Source organism: Homo sapiens, chromosome 14 (assembly GCF_000001405.40).
Source record: "Homo sapiens chromosome 14, GRCh38.p14 Primary Assembly".
In the NCBI taxonomy this organism is placed as follows: domain Eukaryota; kingdom Metazoa; phylum Chordata; class Mammalia; order Primates; family Hominidae; genus Homo; species Homo sapiens.
The window spans coordinates 96,690,437-96,704,620 of NC_000014.9; the positions used below are offsets into that span (position 1 = coordinate 96,690,437).

Here is a 14,184-nt window from a genome sequence, read left to right on the forward strand (position 1 = left end):
CTCTGCCCCAGAGGAGCTGTTTCTCCAATGCAAACATATCTGGGACAGGACCCTGCTCAGAGCAAACCATCCTTGCCTTGAGAATGCAAGTCCAAGTCCCTATTATGTCCTTCAGGTCTTGCAGAGATTTCAAGGGTCAGCGCAGGGCAGGGAATGCCTCCAGGCTGAAAGGAAATAGGAACAAAGACCAGAGTTATTGTGAAGGTCATGTTATTGTCCCTTCCTCACACACGATGAAGCAAAGAGGGGGTCTCTGCAGTATACTCGCAGTGCACTGGGACAGAGCCAGGACATGAACTTGAGCCTTCTAAGTCCTCTGCTTTTCCTAGAGGACTAGGACTCGTTGCTGCAGGCAGGGGCCTTGGAGTCTTTTTTCCTCTGTCCCTCAGACCCATGGATACAGCCCACAAACCATGACAGTGTGACTGTCTCTTGCCACTTGGCTGGCTCGGTTATTCATTCAGTTCCCATTTGTTGGTACACCTGCTCGGGGCCAGATCCTATGCCAAGTGCTGGGACGTGGAAACAAGTAAGAAACTCTCTCTGTCCTCCAATACCTCCCAGTCCTAGGGAGTGTTTGGGAGCTGGATGCTGGATCAGACCCCTATGAAACAATGGTGGAATCAGGGGAACCTCTTAACTTTTCTAGCTACCAGTTCAGCCTCTGTGAGATGAAGGAAATTATATTTTCCTATGGCTGAGCTTGGGAGCTACACAGGCCTGGGTCAATTCCTGGCATCCCCACTTAGTAACTGTGACCCTGGTCACATTGCATAACTACACAATCTTTGTTTCCTTACTTGCAAAATGGAAACAGTCAGAATCTCCACCTTACAGGACTATGGCAGTAGTCAGATGAGCTGATGCATGAAAAATACTCACTGCAGCAACCTAACCTCCAGTGAGCACTTGGGATACCTGAAGGAGAGAACTTAGAAGGGGAGTTGGTCAGGAAAGGTGTGCTGGGGGAATGAATGGCTTAAGTTAACGTGTGGGGATAAGAAACAGCGAGGGAGTGTACACTGTTGCTGGGAATGTGAGTTAGGGTTGCCATGATAGACAACAGTGTAGCAGTTCTCACCAAATTACCATATGACCCAGCAATCCCTGTTGGTTAGATACAAAGGAACTGAAATCAGCACCATGTAGAGATATGTGCACTTCCATATTCAATGCAGCTTTATTTACAATAACTGGGATACAGAAACAAAATATCCATGTCTCAGACAAATGGATATACATAATGTGTCTTAGTCTGTTTTGTGCTGCTGTAACAGAATACCGGAGACTAGGTAACTTGTAAAGAAAAGCTTATTCTCTCACAGTTCTGGAGGCTGGGAAGTCCAAGATCAGGGCACCTACATCTGGGAGGGCCTTGCTGTGTCCTCACATGGTGGGAGGCCAAAGAGCAAGAGAGTACCCAGCTCTCTCTGTCAAGCCTCTTTATAAGGGCACCGATCCTATACATGAGAGAGGAGCCCTCATACCCTAATCACCTCTTAAACCCTTACCTCTTAATATTATGACATTGGCAACACCTGAATTTTGGAGGGGACATATTCAAACCATAGCACAATGGAATATTGTTTAGCCTTTAAAAAAGAGATCCTGCCATTTGTGACAATATGAATGAACCTGGAAGATATTATGCTAAGTAAAATAAGCCAGACACAGAAAGAAAAATACTGCATGATTTCACATGTATTTGGAATCTGAAAAAACAAACTCATGGTGGGTACTGGGGAGAGGAATGGGAAGATGTAGGTCAAAGGATACGAAGCTTCAGTCACGTAGGATGAGTAAGTGCAGAGATATAATGTATAACATGAGGACTGGAGTTTAATAATATTGTATTGTATACTGGACGTTTTTTAAGAGTAGATTTTAGGTACTCTTACCACACACACACACATATGAGGTGACTATGTGAGATGATGGACATGTTAATTTGCTTGAGTGTGGTAATCATTTCACTATGCATGTGTATATCCAAACATCATGTTGTACCCCTTAACTATATACAATAAAAAATAGCAAGAGGGAGTGTGTGTGTGTGTGTGTGTGTGTGTGTGGTGTATACTATGTGTGTATATGGAGTGTTTGTGGGTGTGTGTGTGTGATTTTGTCATATGTGCATAGTGGTGAGAGATGAGGCTGGAGAAGGAGGCTTAAGGGTGGACTTAGGTAACCAAAGATGACCTTGGGCCTCGTTAGGTGGTTTTGGCTGTAACCTGAGGGGCCCTGGGAGCCACTGGAAAGTTGGTTGCAGGTAAGGTGATGTGTGGCCTGGTCCCTCCAGCAGGCAGGACTGTGGGGGATAGCCTGCAGGGGTGAGCCAGGGAGAAGAAAGGATGGCCAGGAGCTGTCTGTGGAGCCCCAGGGATAGAGGCAGGCCACGGACCAACTGGCGTAGAAAGTGTCTGGATGACTCCCATGGAGCCACCAAGCGAATACCTCTGAGCCCCCGATGGGCAGGTGTGCGCTGGTTGCGGGCATCAGGACACAAATAAGCCCAGCCCCTGTCGCTGTCATGTCCCTGAGATCTGAGACGAGTACACAGCTCTCTCCACAGATTCTTGATTTCTGATTTTCAGGCCTGTGATTTGGCAGCTTGGAATCACTATTATTTAGCACCTAAAATAAGTAGTCCCTGACACATAGTAGACACTCAATAAATATTTGGGAAAAGAATGCATGATTTCTGGGTGCATTTCCCATCTTTGTTCAAATGGCAGAAGTATTCATGTCTTGATTTAAAGCAGAAAGTGTCCTGAATTAAGGCCTTGGCCTGGCCCTGCAGACAAGCTCTGAGTGTCTTCAGCTGACAAACCTTTCCAGCCTCAGTTTCCTTCTGGGTCCTGCTGCCCTCTTCCCCTTGCACCAAGGTTAAAGGAGAGAACAGATGTGGTGCTGTTTTTGCAAACGGCAGAGGCTAAGAGGTCTTTGCTACAGTTTGCTGCATGAGCGGCTGGAGCAGTGGAGGGGACGGGACAGAATCCATCCCCACTAGCCTCAGGGCTATGCCAAGGGAGACTGCATTCCAGGACAACAGCAGGGCTCTTCTGCACTTTCTATTTTGTCTGCACCCGGGAGGTATTAGGTAACTCTGTGAAACCTAAGTGCCTTAAGGGATTAGAGAAATTCAATTAAATTCAGATAACCTTCACACTCATCATCCAATTTGCACATACCAAACCAAACAGACCCCCAAATCATCTCAAGTTCACCCAGCACTATCTCTCTTCTCTTTGTATTCCTCCTACTATCTACTGAGATAAATGGAGGTCCATGAGGAAAATTCCTCCCTTTGAGCCTTTTCAGACCTCCTAAGCAAAAATGACTTATCCAGCATCATTGGAGGTTAAAGAATGGCTCAAAGCCTTGAATGGAAACAGAAAGTGTATCTATTTACTTGGAGAGTTTCCTCTCCAACTCCTTCACATTAGGCATCAATAGCGCTGGTGGAACAATGCCTGCAACCCATCTGGCGGAGGAGCCCCAAAGCAGAAGGCAATGTGATTGACTGCGAGTCAAGGTCTCCCTGTGATGGAAGGAGAACACTCGGTAGCGATGATAAAGCACTCGGAAAGTAATGATGTACTTAAATGTACATATGAAGCACTTTTAATGTTTCTTCTTTTGACAAAGAGAAAACTGAAGTGGGCAGCTTTGGTGAAACGAACACCTCTGTCCCTAACTTATGCTGAGTGGTTGATCTAGGAATGTGAGCACTGTCAACAAAGGCATTATCACCAACAAAGGATTCTTTTAGAGGCTGAGAAGCAGGCCTTTGACTCTGTTGCTTTATCTTTGCCTGTGAAAACATTTCTGTTAACATGCTGCTGGAAGAGAGAGGTACTCCACCAGTGTCTGCAGGAGACAGACATTTGGAGCAAAACTTGTACATCAAGGAGGTGAGACAGTATGGCAGTGAGGGAAAAACATGCTAGATTCCTTTCCAGGAGAGATGGGGTCTATTTCAGGCGTCTAAGTTAGCAGACGGCAACCTAAGGAGCGCCCCACGGAAAGAGATGTATTGGTTAGCTATTGCTACAAAATGATGCATAACAAACCACCCCAAAACTCAGTAGTCTCAAACATCACTTATTCTTACCAATCTGCAGGTTGTCTGGGCTCAGATAGCAGCTCTGCTTCACACTTGGATCTGGTGGTGCTTGGTGGGGCATCTCTGCTCTATGTGTATCTCCTTTCTGCGCTCAGGCTAAGAGACAGCAGCTACCCAGGTGAAAGGTTTCTTACAGGAATGGCAGAAGCTCAAGACAACAAGGTCTCCTAAGGTTTAGGTCTGGAAATGTCCAGCTTACTCCTGCCCATATGCCACTGCCAAGGAAGTCACACCACTAAGCCCAAAGTCAGGAGGTAGGGAAAAGCGCTTTGTCTACAACAAGGCCATCTCAAGCTTGTGAGTGCAGGGAAAGGTGAGGAATTGGGGCCGATCATTTAATCTGCCTCAGGAAATGGCATCTGCTGAGCATCCACCATGTCCCATTCACATATGCGGGTCTGTGATACATACTTTCTCATTTGTTTTTCTCAGCAGTTCTGGAAAATAGGCATTACTATTTCCACAGATGAGATTTGACAAAGGAAAGTAACTTGAAGAAGCTTACACAGCAGCGTTGGGATTAGTACTTAGGTCGGCCTGATTCCAAAACCTAGACTTTTCCTGGCCATGCCACTGACCCATGCTGGGATTTTTCCTTTGGCAAACAGGACTGAAATCCCATTTTTGCCTCCCTTCACAAGCTTGTATGAAGCTCAAACAAGATAATGTATAGAAAATTGCTTTTGAATCTCAAAGCACCATATAAATGTAAGGCTATGTTGTTTAATATTATCCAAACCTTCGCTGTGATTAGTATAGAATTTGAGTGAGGCTACCTCAGTCCCAGTTCCAATTAACTTCATGAGTAATCCTGGTCATGTCCTCTTTCCTTGGTCTACCCCACTCTTTTCATTTTGAAGAGGGGATATGAATTATAGTATTAAATAGTGATGTTTTGAATGGCCATGGGCAAAAGGGATGGGATGGTTGACTTTGGGCACCTCTTGCCTCAGGCCTGACCTCGCCATTGGCTATTCCATTGGCTGGTGGAGTTGCGATCCCCCGGCCTAGCCTCTGACTCTCTGTTCTGCCATTCTCCTTAGAGCCTGTGTCCTTTTGCCCATTGGCATCTTCCTGGCTTGTTCTGACCTCTAGGATCAGTAAACAGCCTCCATTGAACTGATTAACATAACTAGCCTTATTTTGCCTTGACCACATTGCTTCCTGGGCTCCACCCTTCCTCTGGCTTCTCCCAGGATGTTTCTTAAAGGTTCCCAGCTGGGAAGTAAACCAGTCTCAGAAAGTGGGCTGTCCAGGGACTACAGGTAAGTAGGAGTTCTGGCTGGAAGAAAGGGAAAGCGGGCAGAAAGAAGAGTAGAGACTGCCTAAGAAAGACGAGTAAATGAACCCTTTGTGAAAAGACTGAGTGTTAGAGAACCATGAATTGCATCAATATTTTTAGTGGGCATATCATCTCCAGAGAGTTGTCTAGACCATTTGTGAATCCACCTTTCCATCTATCCATCATGTAAACATCAAACATCCATCCATCCATCCATCCGTCCGTCCGTCCATCCATCCATCCATCCATCCATCCGTCCATCCACATATTCACCCTTGCAACCAACATTTCTTGAGCACTGATCATAAGGCATACAATGAGTAAATAAAGGCAGTAAAAGGGCGAAGTTTTCAGAATGCCTACTCGCTTTACATAAAATGTCCAGTTTAATTCTCACAACAACCCTAAGATTATGTGTGGTTTGACAACAGTGAAAATGAGATTCAGAGAAGTATGTCACTTGCCCAAGGTCACACAGTTGTCAGAGACAAAGCCATAATTCAAATCCAGTCCCTCTGACTCTCAAAGCCCTCTTCCTTCCAAGTATGGTCCATCTACCCTCCTTAAGTTTGTTTCACTAGATGGGCACATGCCGCTGTAAGTCCTAACCATTTCTTGGTATGAAAATCCCATCATGGCCCTTGGCCATGACACCCAAGGAAGCCTGTGCTGCAAATTACAAGCTGGAATTTGCCCCACAACACTGCATCTCTGATTGCTAGAGATAGCAGAAGAGTGACGAGAGCTGGGACAGATGAAGAAGTTTCTTGGTTGCTCATGGTGCCATGTTGACGAGCCTCTTGCTAGAGCATCACCCGCACTTTGTGCTCCTTACCAGGCTTCTGGCTGCTGCTGAGAGGACCATTGTTACTTCTGGATGGCTGCAGTGTCTTCCTGAGCCCCCAGGAACAGCCTGCTGGGGATGGGAGTATTATCTTGAGGTCACATAGCCAGAGAAAGTTTGAGTTAGAGGAGACCTGAGCTCTCACCTTGTCCAGATGGCAAAACTGAGCCTGGAAAGGGTAGCAGAAGCTTCACTTGTCCCCTCAAGTTCACTTCTCCACTTCATCCCCTGTGATCACTTGATCATTTTCTGGCCCACAGGCTGCTGATGTGTCTCCACTCCCAGCAGCCTGCCGTAGGTCTTTGTGCTAGAGGACTTCCTTCAGCACATGTTCATGAAGGCCTGGCCGTGCTTGGGAACTGGGTTGATGTTCTGCAGAGGCCATCCCTTCTCCAGTGATGGACTGGTACAGAGGTATGAATGCTGCAGCTCCCTCACCCTGACTGGGACAACTCTCAGGTTGGGGCACTGAGCCGCAGTTGACCTCCATGGAACTTTGTTCGATGCCAATTCCTTGTTGGCCTCCTTCCCTCCCCTGTTCCACCTCCTCGTCCCCCTACCTGATTTTCCTGGAACACTTCCTCATTGATTATTTCACAGGAATCCGCATTTCAGGAGCTGCTTCTGGGGAACTCATTTTAAGTCAGAGAGGCAGAGTGGTCTCAAGGAGAACCAACTGAGAATCTTGCACCAAGCAGAGCCAAGCTCCGGGTTTTCAACTCTCCGAGTTTTCTCTGGGTCATATAACAGTGAAATTGGTTGCTGCTTCTACTCCTACAGCCTTCCATGATAGCTGCACCCGGAGTTATCAGCGGTTCAAACCCAAAAAGCTGATTTATCACTCACACTACAATCTAATGCAGGTGTTCCTGGCCAGTCAGCCACCCTGTGTTCACTGCGCCCCTTCCATCTTGTGTTCCTGTGTCTTCGGGTGCTCTTCTGTTCAGCCAGTGGATGTGGAAAGAGCTTGCAGGAGCGCATGGAAGGGTGTTATGTGCTGGGCCTAGAGGTGGTGCCCATCCCTTCAGCCTGCATTTCCTCGGCCAGAACCCAGTCTTGTTGCCACACCTAACAAAGAGGCCTGAGCATCTCATTAGCTGTGTGTCCCTGTGGAAAAGGAGAGGAGTTTCAATGAACACACACTGTAATCTCTACCACAGGCAAGAGACTTAACCTCTCTGACCTGGTTCTGCTGTAAGTGGGGAGCCATAACACCCCCGCTTCCTCTGGTGGTGTGAGGTTGCCTGTGCCAAGACATAGCATGAGCTTCCAGAGGAACTGCATACAGTAAGCGCATGGGACACGTTGACTCTCATTTCCTTCTTAAATTGTTGTTTTCAAATCTGGGCTCAGCACCACTGCATGGGGACAAAAACTATTAGTGCCCTTGGCAGCATCTCATAAAAACCTCCACTCTCCAGCCCAAAAGGAAGCCCCACAGCCTCCTCTTCCAGATCCCACAAGTTGTCTGAGAGCTGAGGTCTTTCATCCTCCCCTGCCTAAAAGCATGAGATAGAAACACAACATACGAAAGGGCACCGTGAAGCGTACATTAACCTCCGACCTCGTTAGAAGCCGCGTGCTCAAGGCCTGTTGGTGTCTCCGCATCACAGCCGGTCCCCTGTGCCCCTCATAGGTGTTGTCATTGTCATTCAAAATACCTGGGAAAATGTACTTTATTGAATCTGTTTCCACATTGAATGCAAACATGCAAGTCTGCTTCTTTCAGCAGAAATGCTCTCAGAGTTCTTTTTTTCCCCCTCATCAAATTCCTCCTTCCTTAAATAAAAGACTCCTTTTTTCCGCCCTTGGCAGTGTTGTTCAGCAGGTGGTATTATATGGATGTTTTTCTACAGTGGAGGCCTTCAGTGACCCTCATCTTAAGGAACTGCTTAAGCATTCAATAATAGCCCATACAGTGGCTCTCTAAAAATAAACATCTGCTTAGAAAGAATTTAACCTGAGGACACACTTTAGAGGAGGGGGCATCCTTAATGGACTTTTAGTGCAGAGCCGAAAAGGAGTCCATTGCAGCTGAAAACTGCCGGCTTCTCGTCGTCATGATACCCGGGATGTTGTTAACTACTGGGCCAGGTGGGCTCAGGGAGTGGAGGTGACGGCGGCCTGCCGAGGGCTAGAGCCGGGGAGAGAAGGCGCTTCCTGCCTGGTTCCTTTGTTAGTCTGTGGACCAGCCTTTCTGCACACATGAAGAGGAACGAAGGGGAGAGGAAGCGCCCTGGGTGTGACATGAGGACAGTCATGGGCTGCAGCCGGGCCTGGCGTCCTGTTCTGGTTTTGCCATGTCCTGCTTGGGTGACCCGTGGCAAGCTCTCTACCTTCTGAGCTTCACGTCTGCATCAGAAAACTGGAGCTGGGAAACCTCTCTCAGAGTGGCTGTGAGGATTAGAGACTGCATCTGGGAAACTCCAGCGTGGGGCCTGGCAAATCACGAACATTCGATAATACAGTGGGTGTGGTCACCAGATCCCCGAGCTGCAGAGGAAAGGAAGCGGCATTGCTGGTGCAGCTCGAAAAAAGATGAAACTCATGTGTCAAATCCCAGCAAGCAGAATGGGGAAACACCCAGGGCATGGTTTGGAAAGTCCCCGACATTGCGTAGGGGGTTATGTGAGGCAAATTCAAATAACGGATCATGCAAGTGTCATCTCAGGCTCTCCCCACGGCAGCCCCGTGAGAAAGGTCTCATGATCCCATTTTACAGGTGAGGAGACTGTGGCTCAGAGCTGTGCATATGCCACCCAGCCTGCAGGGGGGGGCCAGAGTTCAGTCTCAGAACTGGGCTCTTTCTACCTGGCAATTCTACTTCCCTTAGTGTCTGCCTTAGAATTTCTCCCCCAGAAGACACGACCTACTACTCTTCAGTATAGATTCCACCATTTTCCATTGCACAGAGTGCCTGGTATGGAGGTACAGGTAGGAGAGAGTGGCTAAGGTAAAGTTCCTGCACAGCTGCGGAGCTCCTTGCAACGGCATGGATCATGAGTTAGGGAGGACCAGATAATAACAGGTAATGGTGAGGATGCGGAGAAATCACAACCCCATACATGCTGGTGGACATGTAAAATAGCACAGCCACATTGGAAAGAGCCTGACAGTTTCCCAAATAGTAAACTGTAGACTTACCATATGACCTAGCAATTCTGCTCCTAGGTGCATACCCAAGAGAAATGAAAACATGTGCCCATGCAAAAACTTGTACAGAAATGCTCATAGCAGCATTGTTCATAATAGCCAAAAGGCAGAAACAACCCAAATGTCCAACAATGGGTGAATGGGTACACAAAGTGTGGTCTATCCACGCAGTGGAATACTATTCAGCTATAAGAAGGAACAAAGCACTGACACATACTACCATGTGGAGGAACCTTGGAAACACTGTGCTAAGCGAAAGAAGCCAGACATCAAAGACAACATAGTACATGGTTCCATTTATAAGATATGTCCAGAATAGGCAAATCTATAGAGACAGAAAGTAGGTTCGTAGTTCCTTAGGTCTGGGGAGATGGGGGAATGAGGAGGGAAGCTAAAAGGGGGTACATCATTTTATTTTCATTTATTTATTGTTTTGAGATGGAGTCTTGCTCTGTCACTCAGGCTGGAGTGCAGTGGCTTAATCTCTACTCACTGCAACCTCTGCCTCCTGGGTTCAAGCAATTCTCATGCCTCAGCCTCCCGAGTAGCTGGGATTACAGGCCTGCGCCACCATGCCTGGGCAATTTTTGTTTATTTAGTGCAGACAGGTTTCACCAGGTTGGCCAGGCTGGTCTCGAACTCCTGACCCCAAGTGATCCACCCGCCTTGGCCTCCCAAAGTGCTGGGATTACAGGTGTAAGCCACTGCGCCCATCCCAGGGTTTATTTTTGAGGTGATGAAAATGTTCAAAATTGGCTGTGGCGATGTTTGCACATAGCTGTGAATATATTAAAAACCACTGAGGCCAGGCATGGTGGCATACGCCTGTAATCCCAACACTTTAGGAGGCCGAGGCGGGAGGATCCCTTGAGCCCGGGAGTTCGAGGCTGTACTGAGCTATGATGACGCCACTGCACTCCAGCCTGGGCCACAGAGCAAGACCCTGTTTGTAAAAATAAATAAATAATAAGACAGTAAAAACCATTGAATCGAACACTTTAAATGGGTGAATTGTATGGTATGTGATTATGTCTTAATATAGCTGTTATTTGAGGAAAAAAGAGTTGTAGGGGGTGGGTGCCTAAAAAAGGAAAATTGGGTGCCATTTTTAGAAGATTGGAGAACAGATGCTGGGCAGGGAAAAACGGTCAATGCTCACTTTTACGCGACTGATAGATGAAACGCTCTCATCTGTGTAAAGGCGCCTCGCCTGTGCCTGCTAATGGCAGGACTTCAGCAAACATGAGTTTCTTTTCCTTTCCCTCCTCCTTGAATACCTTTCTGTAGACCCCTAGTCTCAATGGACTTACCAAGCAGAACAGAGTTTCCTCCCTGCTTTGAGGTGGGAAAGAAAACTGTTATAAGCCAGTATTTCTAAATGAGAGGGAGCGGATGGAAAGGCACCCATAGTCAAGGAATATAGGGCTGTGCTTGGTGACATAGAAGGTCACTGGCATCTTTTGGAGTGTGCTGTGTGCTGGGCCAGGACCCCCCCTCCCCTGCCCCTCCCACCTAGAAGCACCGAGTGTGACTGGTTTCCTATGGAACCCCCTTTGGAAAAGAGCTTGAGTCCACAATCAAAGTGTCAAGAAGTGACTGACCTCTCCCAGCCTCTACCTGCCATGGTCTCTGAGCTCTGGACTTGGTTCCCAGTGAGAGACTCCACATCCCCTGAGGATCCAGCCCTGGCCCGAGAGCTGGCCTGATCCTTTTGCCTGGGGCTCGGCAGTCAGTTGTACTCTGGATGCTCTTCCTAATTTCATCTGAGGCCTCACTGTGTTGACCTGGCCTCTTCCTGCTTGCCCCTCAGGCTACTCCACTCCTCAGCCAGCAGGTCTCACTAAATATTCCAAGGCCACTTGGTCTTAGGGACAAGGTGAGAGGTCAGCAAGGCTGGGAGCATCTCTTGTGTGTCTGGCCACTTAGGCCATGTGGCCAGGGGAGGGGCTTGATTCTCTTGGAGCCTGAGATATCTGTGCAGGCAGCACAAGGGGTTGGGTTCTGACAGGGTCCTTCTCAAAAGACCTTCTGGCTCCCCCACTTGACCTCTCCACTAGCATTGTCACTCAATCCTTCGAGGGCCAGCTCTGCATCTGTGAAATGGGGTCATAATGCCTATTTCTTGAATTGCAGGGAAGTTTAAATGAGAAAAGTTTTGTGGTAACACCTAACAGAGTGGCATAAATAGGTGCTTATTAAAGCTTTTCATCGTCACCATCATCATCAATGATATAGCCCGGGGGGGTCAGTCCTTCCAGATCATTCAGGTAGATGGGTCCTTTTTGCAGAGTATTGTGTGCTGTATCCATTTTATTTTTCCTGGATTGGAAAATGGCCTTCCCATTCATTTTGTTGTGGAAACTGAGGCACATCCAGATGACTTAGCTGGGGTAAGTTCCCCTGTGAGCATACGGTATAGGTCAGCTTTCAACCGAGATTGCTTGGGATGTGTGTCTCTCTCCTCTCCCTGGGAGCCCCTGCCTTCCCCTGGGATGAGCCTGGCACAGTTTCAGCAGGGGACTGAGCAGGTCATTAATGAGGGACCTGTTCAAAAAGCCAGAAAATATCACCCCAAAGACATCCACGTAATGTATTCATGCCATAGGTCATTGGCTGAGCCTCCCTAATTAAGGAGATCTGGCTGTCGGTACCAGTTTTGAGGGAGGTATGTGTCTGCAGAAAAACTGGCTGCTTTCATCAGCCTGGGCAGAATGTGGCAGGCCAAGCCCCTGGGCTGCTGATCTTAGCAGAGGGAAGGGCCTGGGAGCCAGGCTCTGGGGCTGGCTGAGAAACACCCATGGGGGACAGACCACCCCTGCCTGGTAGCTTGGTTGGTGCCTTGAGGGAGAGGGCCATTTGTTCATTCGCTTGACAGCTATTGAGCACCTACTACGCACAGCACAGTGCTAAATGGTAGCAGACACGCAGCTAGTAAGTGAGCATCATCCCTGCCCTCATGTTGGAGGAAGACAGAAATAATCACATGAGAAAACACAGTAGAGGGTATGGTAGTAAGTGCTACTGGGGAAAATAAGCCAGAGTGGGGGCGGGGTGAAGGGGGGTGGGAAGGACTGTGACCTCCGTTCCTTGTGGGATGAGTGGCCAGCAGGGTGTCTGGACCTGACTTACACTCTCCCTGGGTTGTCTGTTGACCAAAGTGAGCCTTTCTCCAAGTGGTTTGCTACTCACCTGGCACCCACTGTGGACGGGGCACAGGGGACAGACTGCAGGGTGGTGGCTTGGTGTTCTGAAAAGCAGAGCTTATGGAGGGAGGAAGTGGGGTTGCTCATAGTAACAAGGAACCTCGAATGTGGACGTTGGGTAGATTCTCCAGATGAGGTTACGGACACAGTCTCATGGACACACTGAAGGATGGAAACAAGGAGACTCTCTCTGTGCAACTTCTGTGTGTGTGTCCCACAGAGAACCTGATATGGTTTGGCTCTGTGTCCCCACCCAAATCTCATCTTGAATTGTACTCCCATAATTCCCACGTGTTGTGGGAGGGATCCGGTGGGAGATAATTGAATCATCGGGGCGGTTTCCTCCATACTGTCTCAAATAAGTCTCACAAGATCTGATGGTTTGATAAGAGGACCCATGACCTTTGCTTGGCTCTCATTTTCTCTTTGCCTGCCGCCATCCACGTAAGATGTGACTTGCTCCTTCTTGCCCTCCACCATGATTGTGAGGCTTCCCCAGCCACGTGGAACTGTGAGTTCTCCATTAAACATCTTCCATTTGTAAATTGCCCAGTCTCAGGTATGTCTTTATCAGCAGCATGAAAACGAACTAATACAGACCCTGTTCCTGGGGTGGAGGCAGGGTGGTAAAAATCCATTAAGCAAAACCAATGCGGTCATTATCTTGTGACTAGCACAGTAAATTATACTGTATTTTTTTTCATTAAAAGCGTTGGTTTAGTAAATGTACACATGTGATGTGTATCACAAACATTGTGACTGTTGTGGTGTTTCTGTTTTTCTGACCCTCTCTTGACCTCAGAGAAAGTAGTTCTGATACCTGGGCTGGCTCTCTTCGTTGTTCAGCATGGATTAAATACTTACTGACTGCCTACTGTATGGGCAGCTCTGCTCCAGGTGCAGGGATATGGCAGGGAGTGAAACAGGCCGAAGCATCTGCCCTCCTGAGGCCGTGCTCTCAGTGGGTGGAGACAAACAAGTGGGTGAATGTGTCATATGTCAAATGGATGTGCTATGAAGATGATGCAGGAGTTGAGGCTGGAGAGTGGGGAGCTGGGCAGGGGCAGGGGGTTGAGCCTGGGGCAGGGAATGGGTTGCATGGTGGGAGAATAGGTCCTGGGGGTTGCCTGGCTTCCCTGGACCATACAGGGATGAGGAATAATGTCGGAATTCCCAGCACCTTGGGGGAACTGATGAAGCCAGAGGGGGACTCACTGCACTATTTTTCCCCATGACCTCAAGGCAGATGGAGGGGTGAGGCTGTGAGTGGTGGTGGTGGTGGGATGCAGGGAGTGAGTGAGGGGCTTCCAGGAGCAGGCAGGCCTCCTGGGGCCCCCTCTTCACCTGTGCTTGGCCAGAGGCAGGAAGATGGAGCTAGAGCAGGCAGAGCTCCTGGGTTTGAGTTGTGGGTCCGGAAGGGGAGAGGAGGTAGAGAACACTTTGTTGGTGCCCACGCATGCCCCACGGCCTGTTCCAGAGGCTACCTGCAGGCAGCTGTTAGCCCCATGCCGATGATTTTCTGTGTCTTTCTCCCACCAAGGGTATTCCCTCCCCACAGGGCAGTGGTGAGGCCCGG

General features: G+C 48.4%; 2 annotated features.

Annotated features, from left to right (window-relative positions):
• Window positions 3,365-3,965: an enhancer, noted in NCBI's record as "NANOG hESC enhancer chr14:97160138-97160738 (GRCh37/hg19 assembly coordinates)". NCBI's record gives its function as "activates a minimal SCP1, AML or CMV promoter by ChIP-STARR-seq in primed H9 embryonic stem cells {active_cell/tissue: H9 hESC(primed)}" and the evidence as "EXISTENCE:reporter gene assay evidence [ECO:0000049][PMID:30033119]".
• Window positions 8,768-8,967: an enhancer, noted in NCBI's record as "active region_8990". NCBI's record gives its function as "activates an Ori minimal core promoter by ATAC-STARR-seq in GM12878 lymphoblastoid cells {active_cell/tissue: GM12878}" and the evidence as "EXISTENCE:reporter gene assay evidence [ECO:0000049][PMID:35858748]".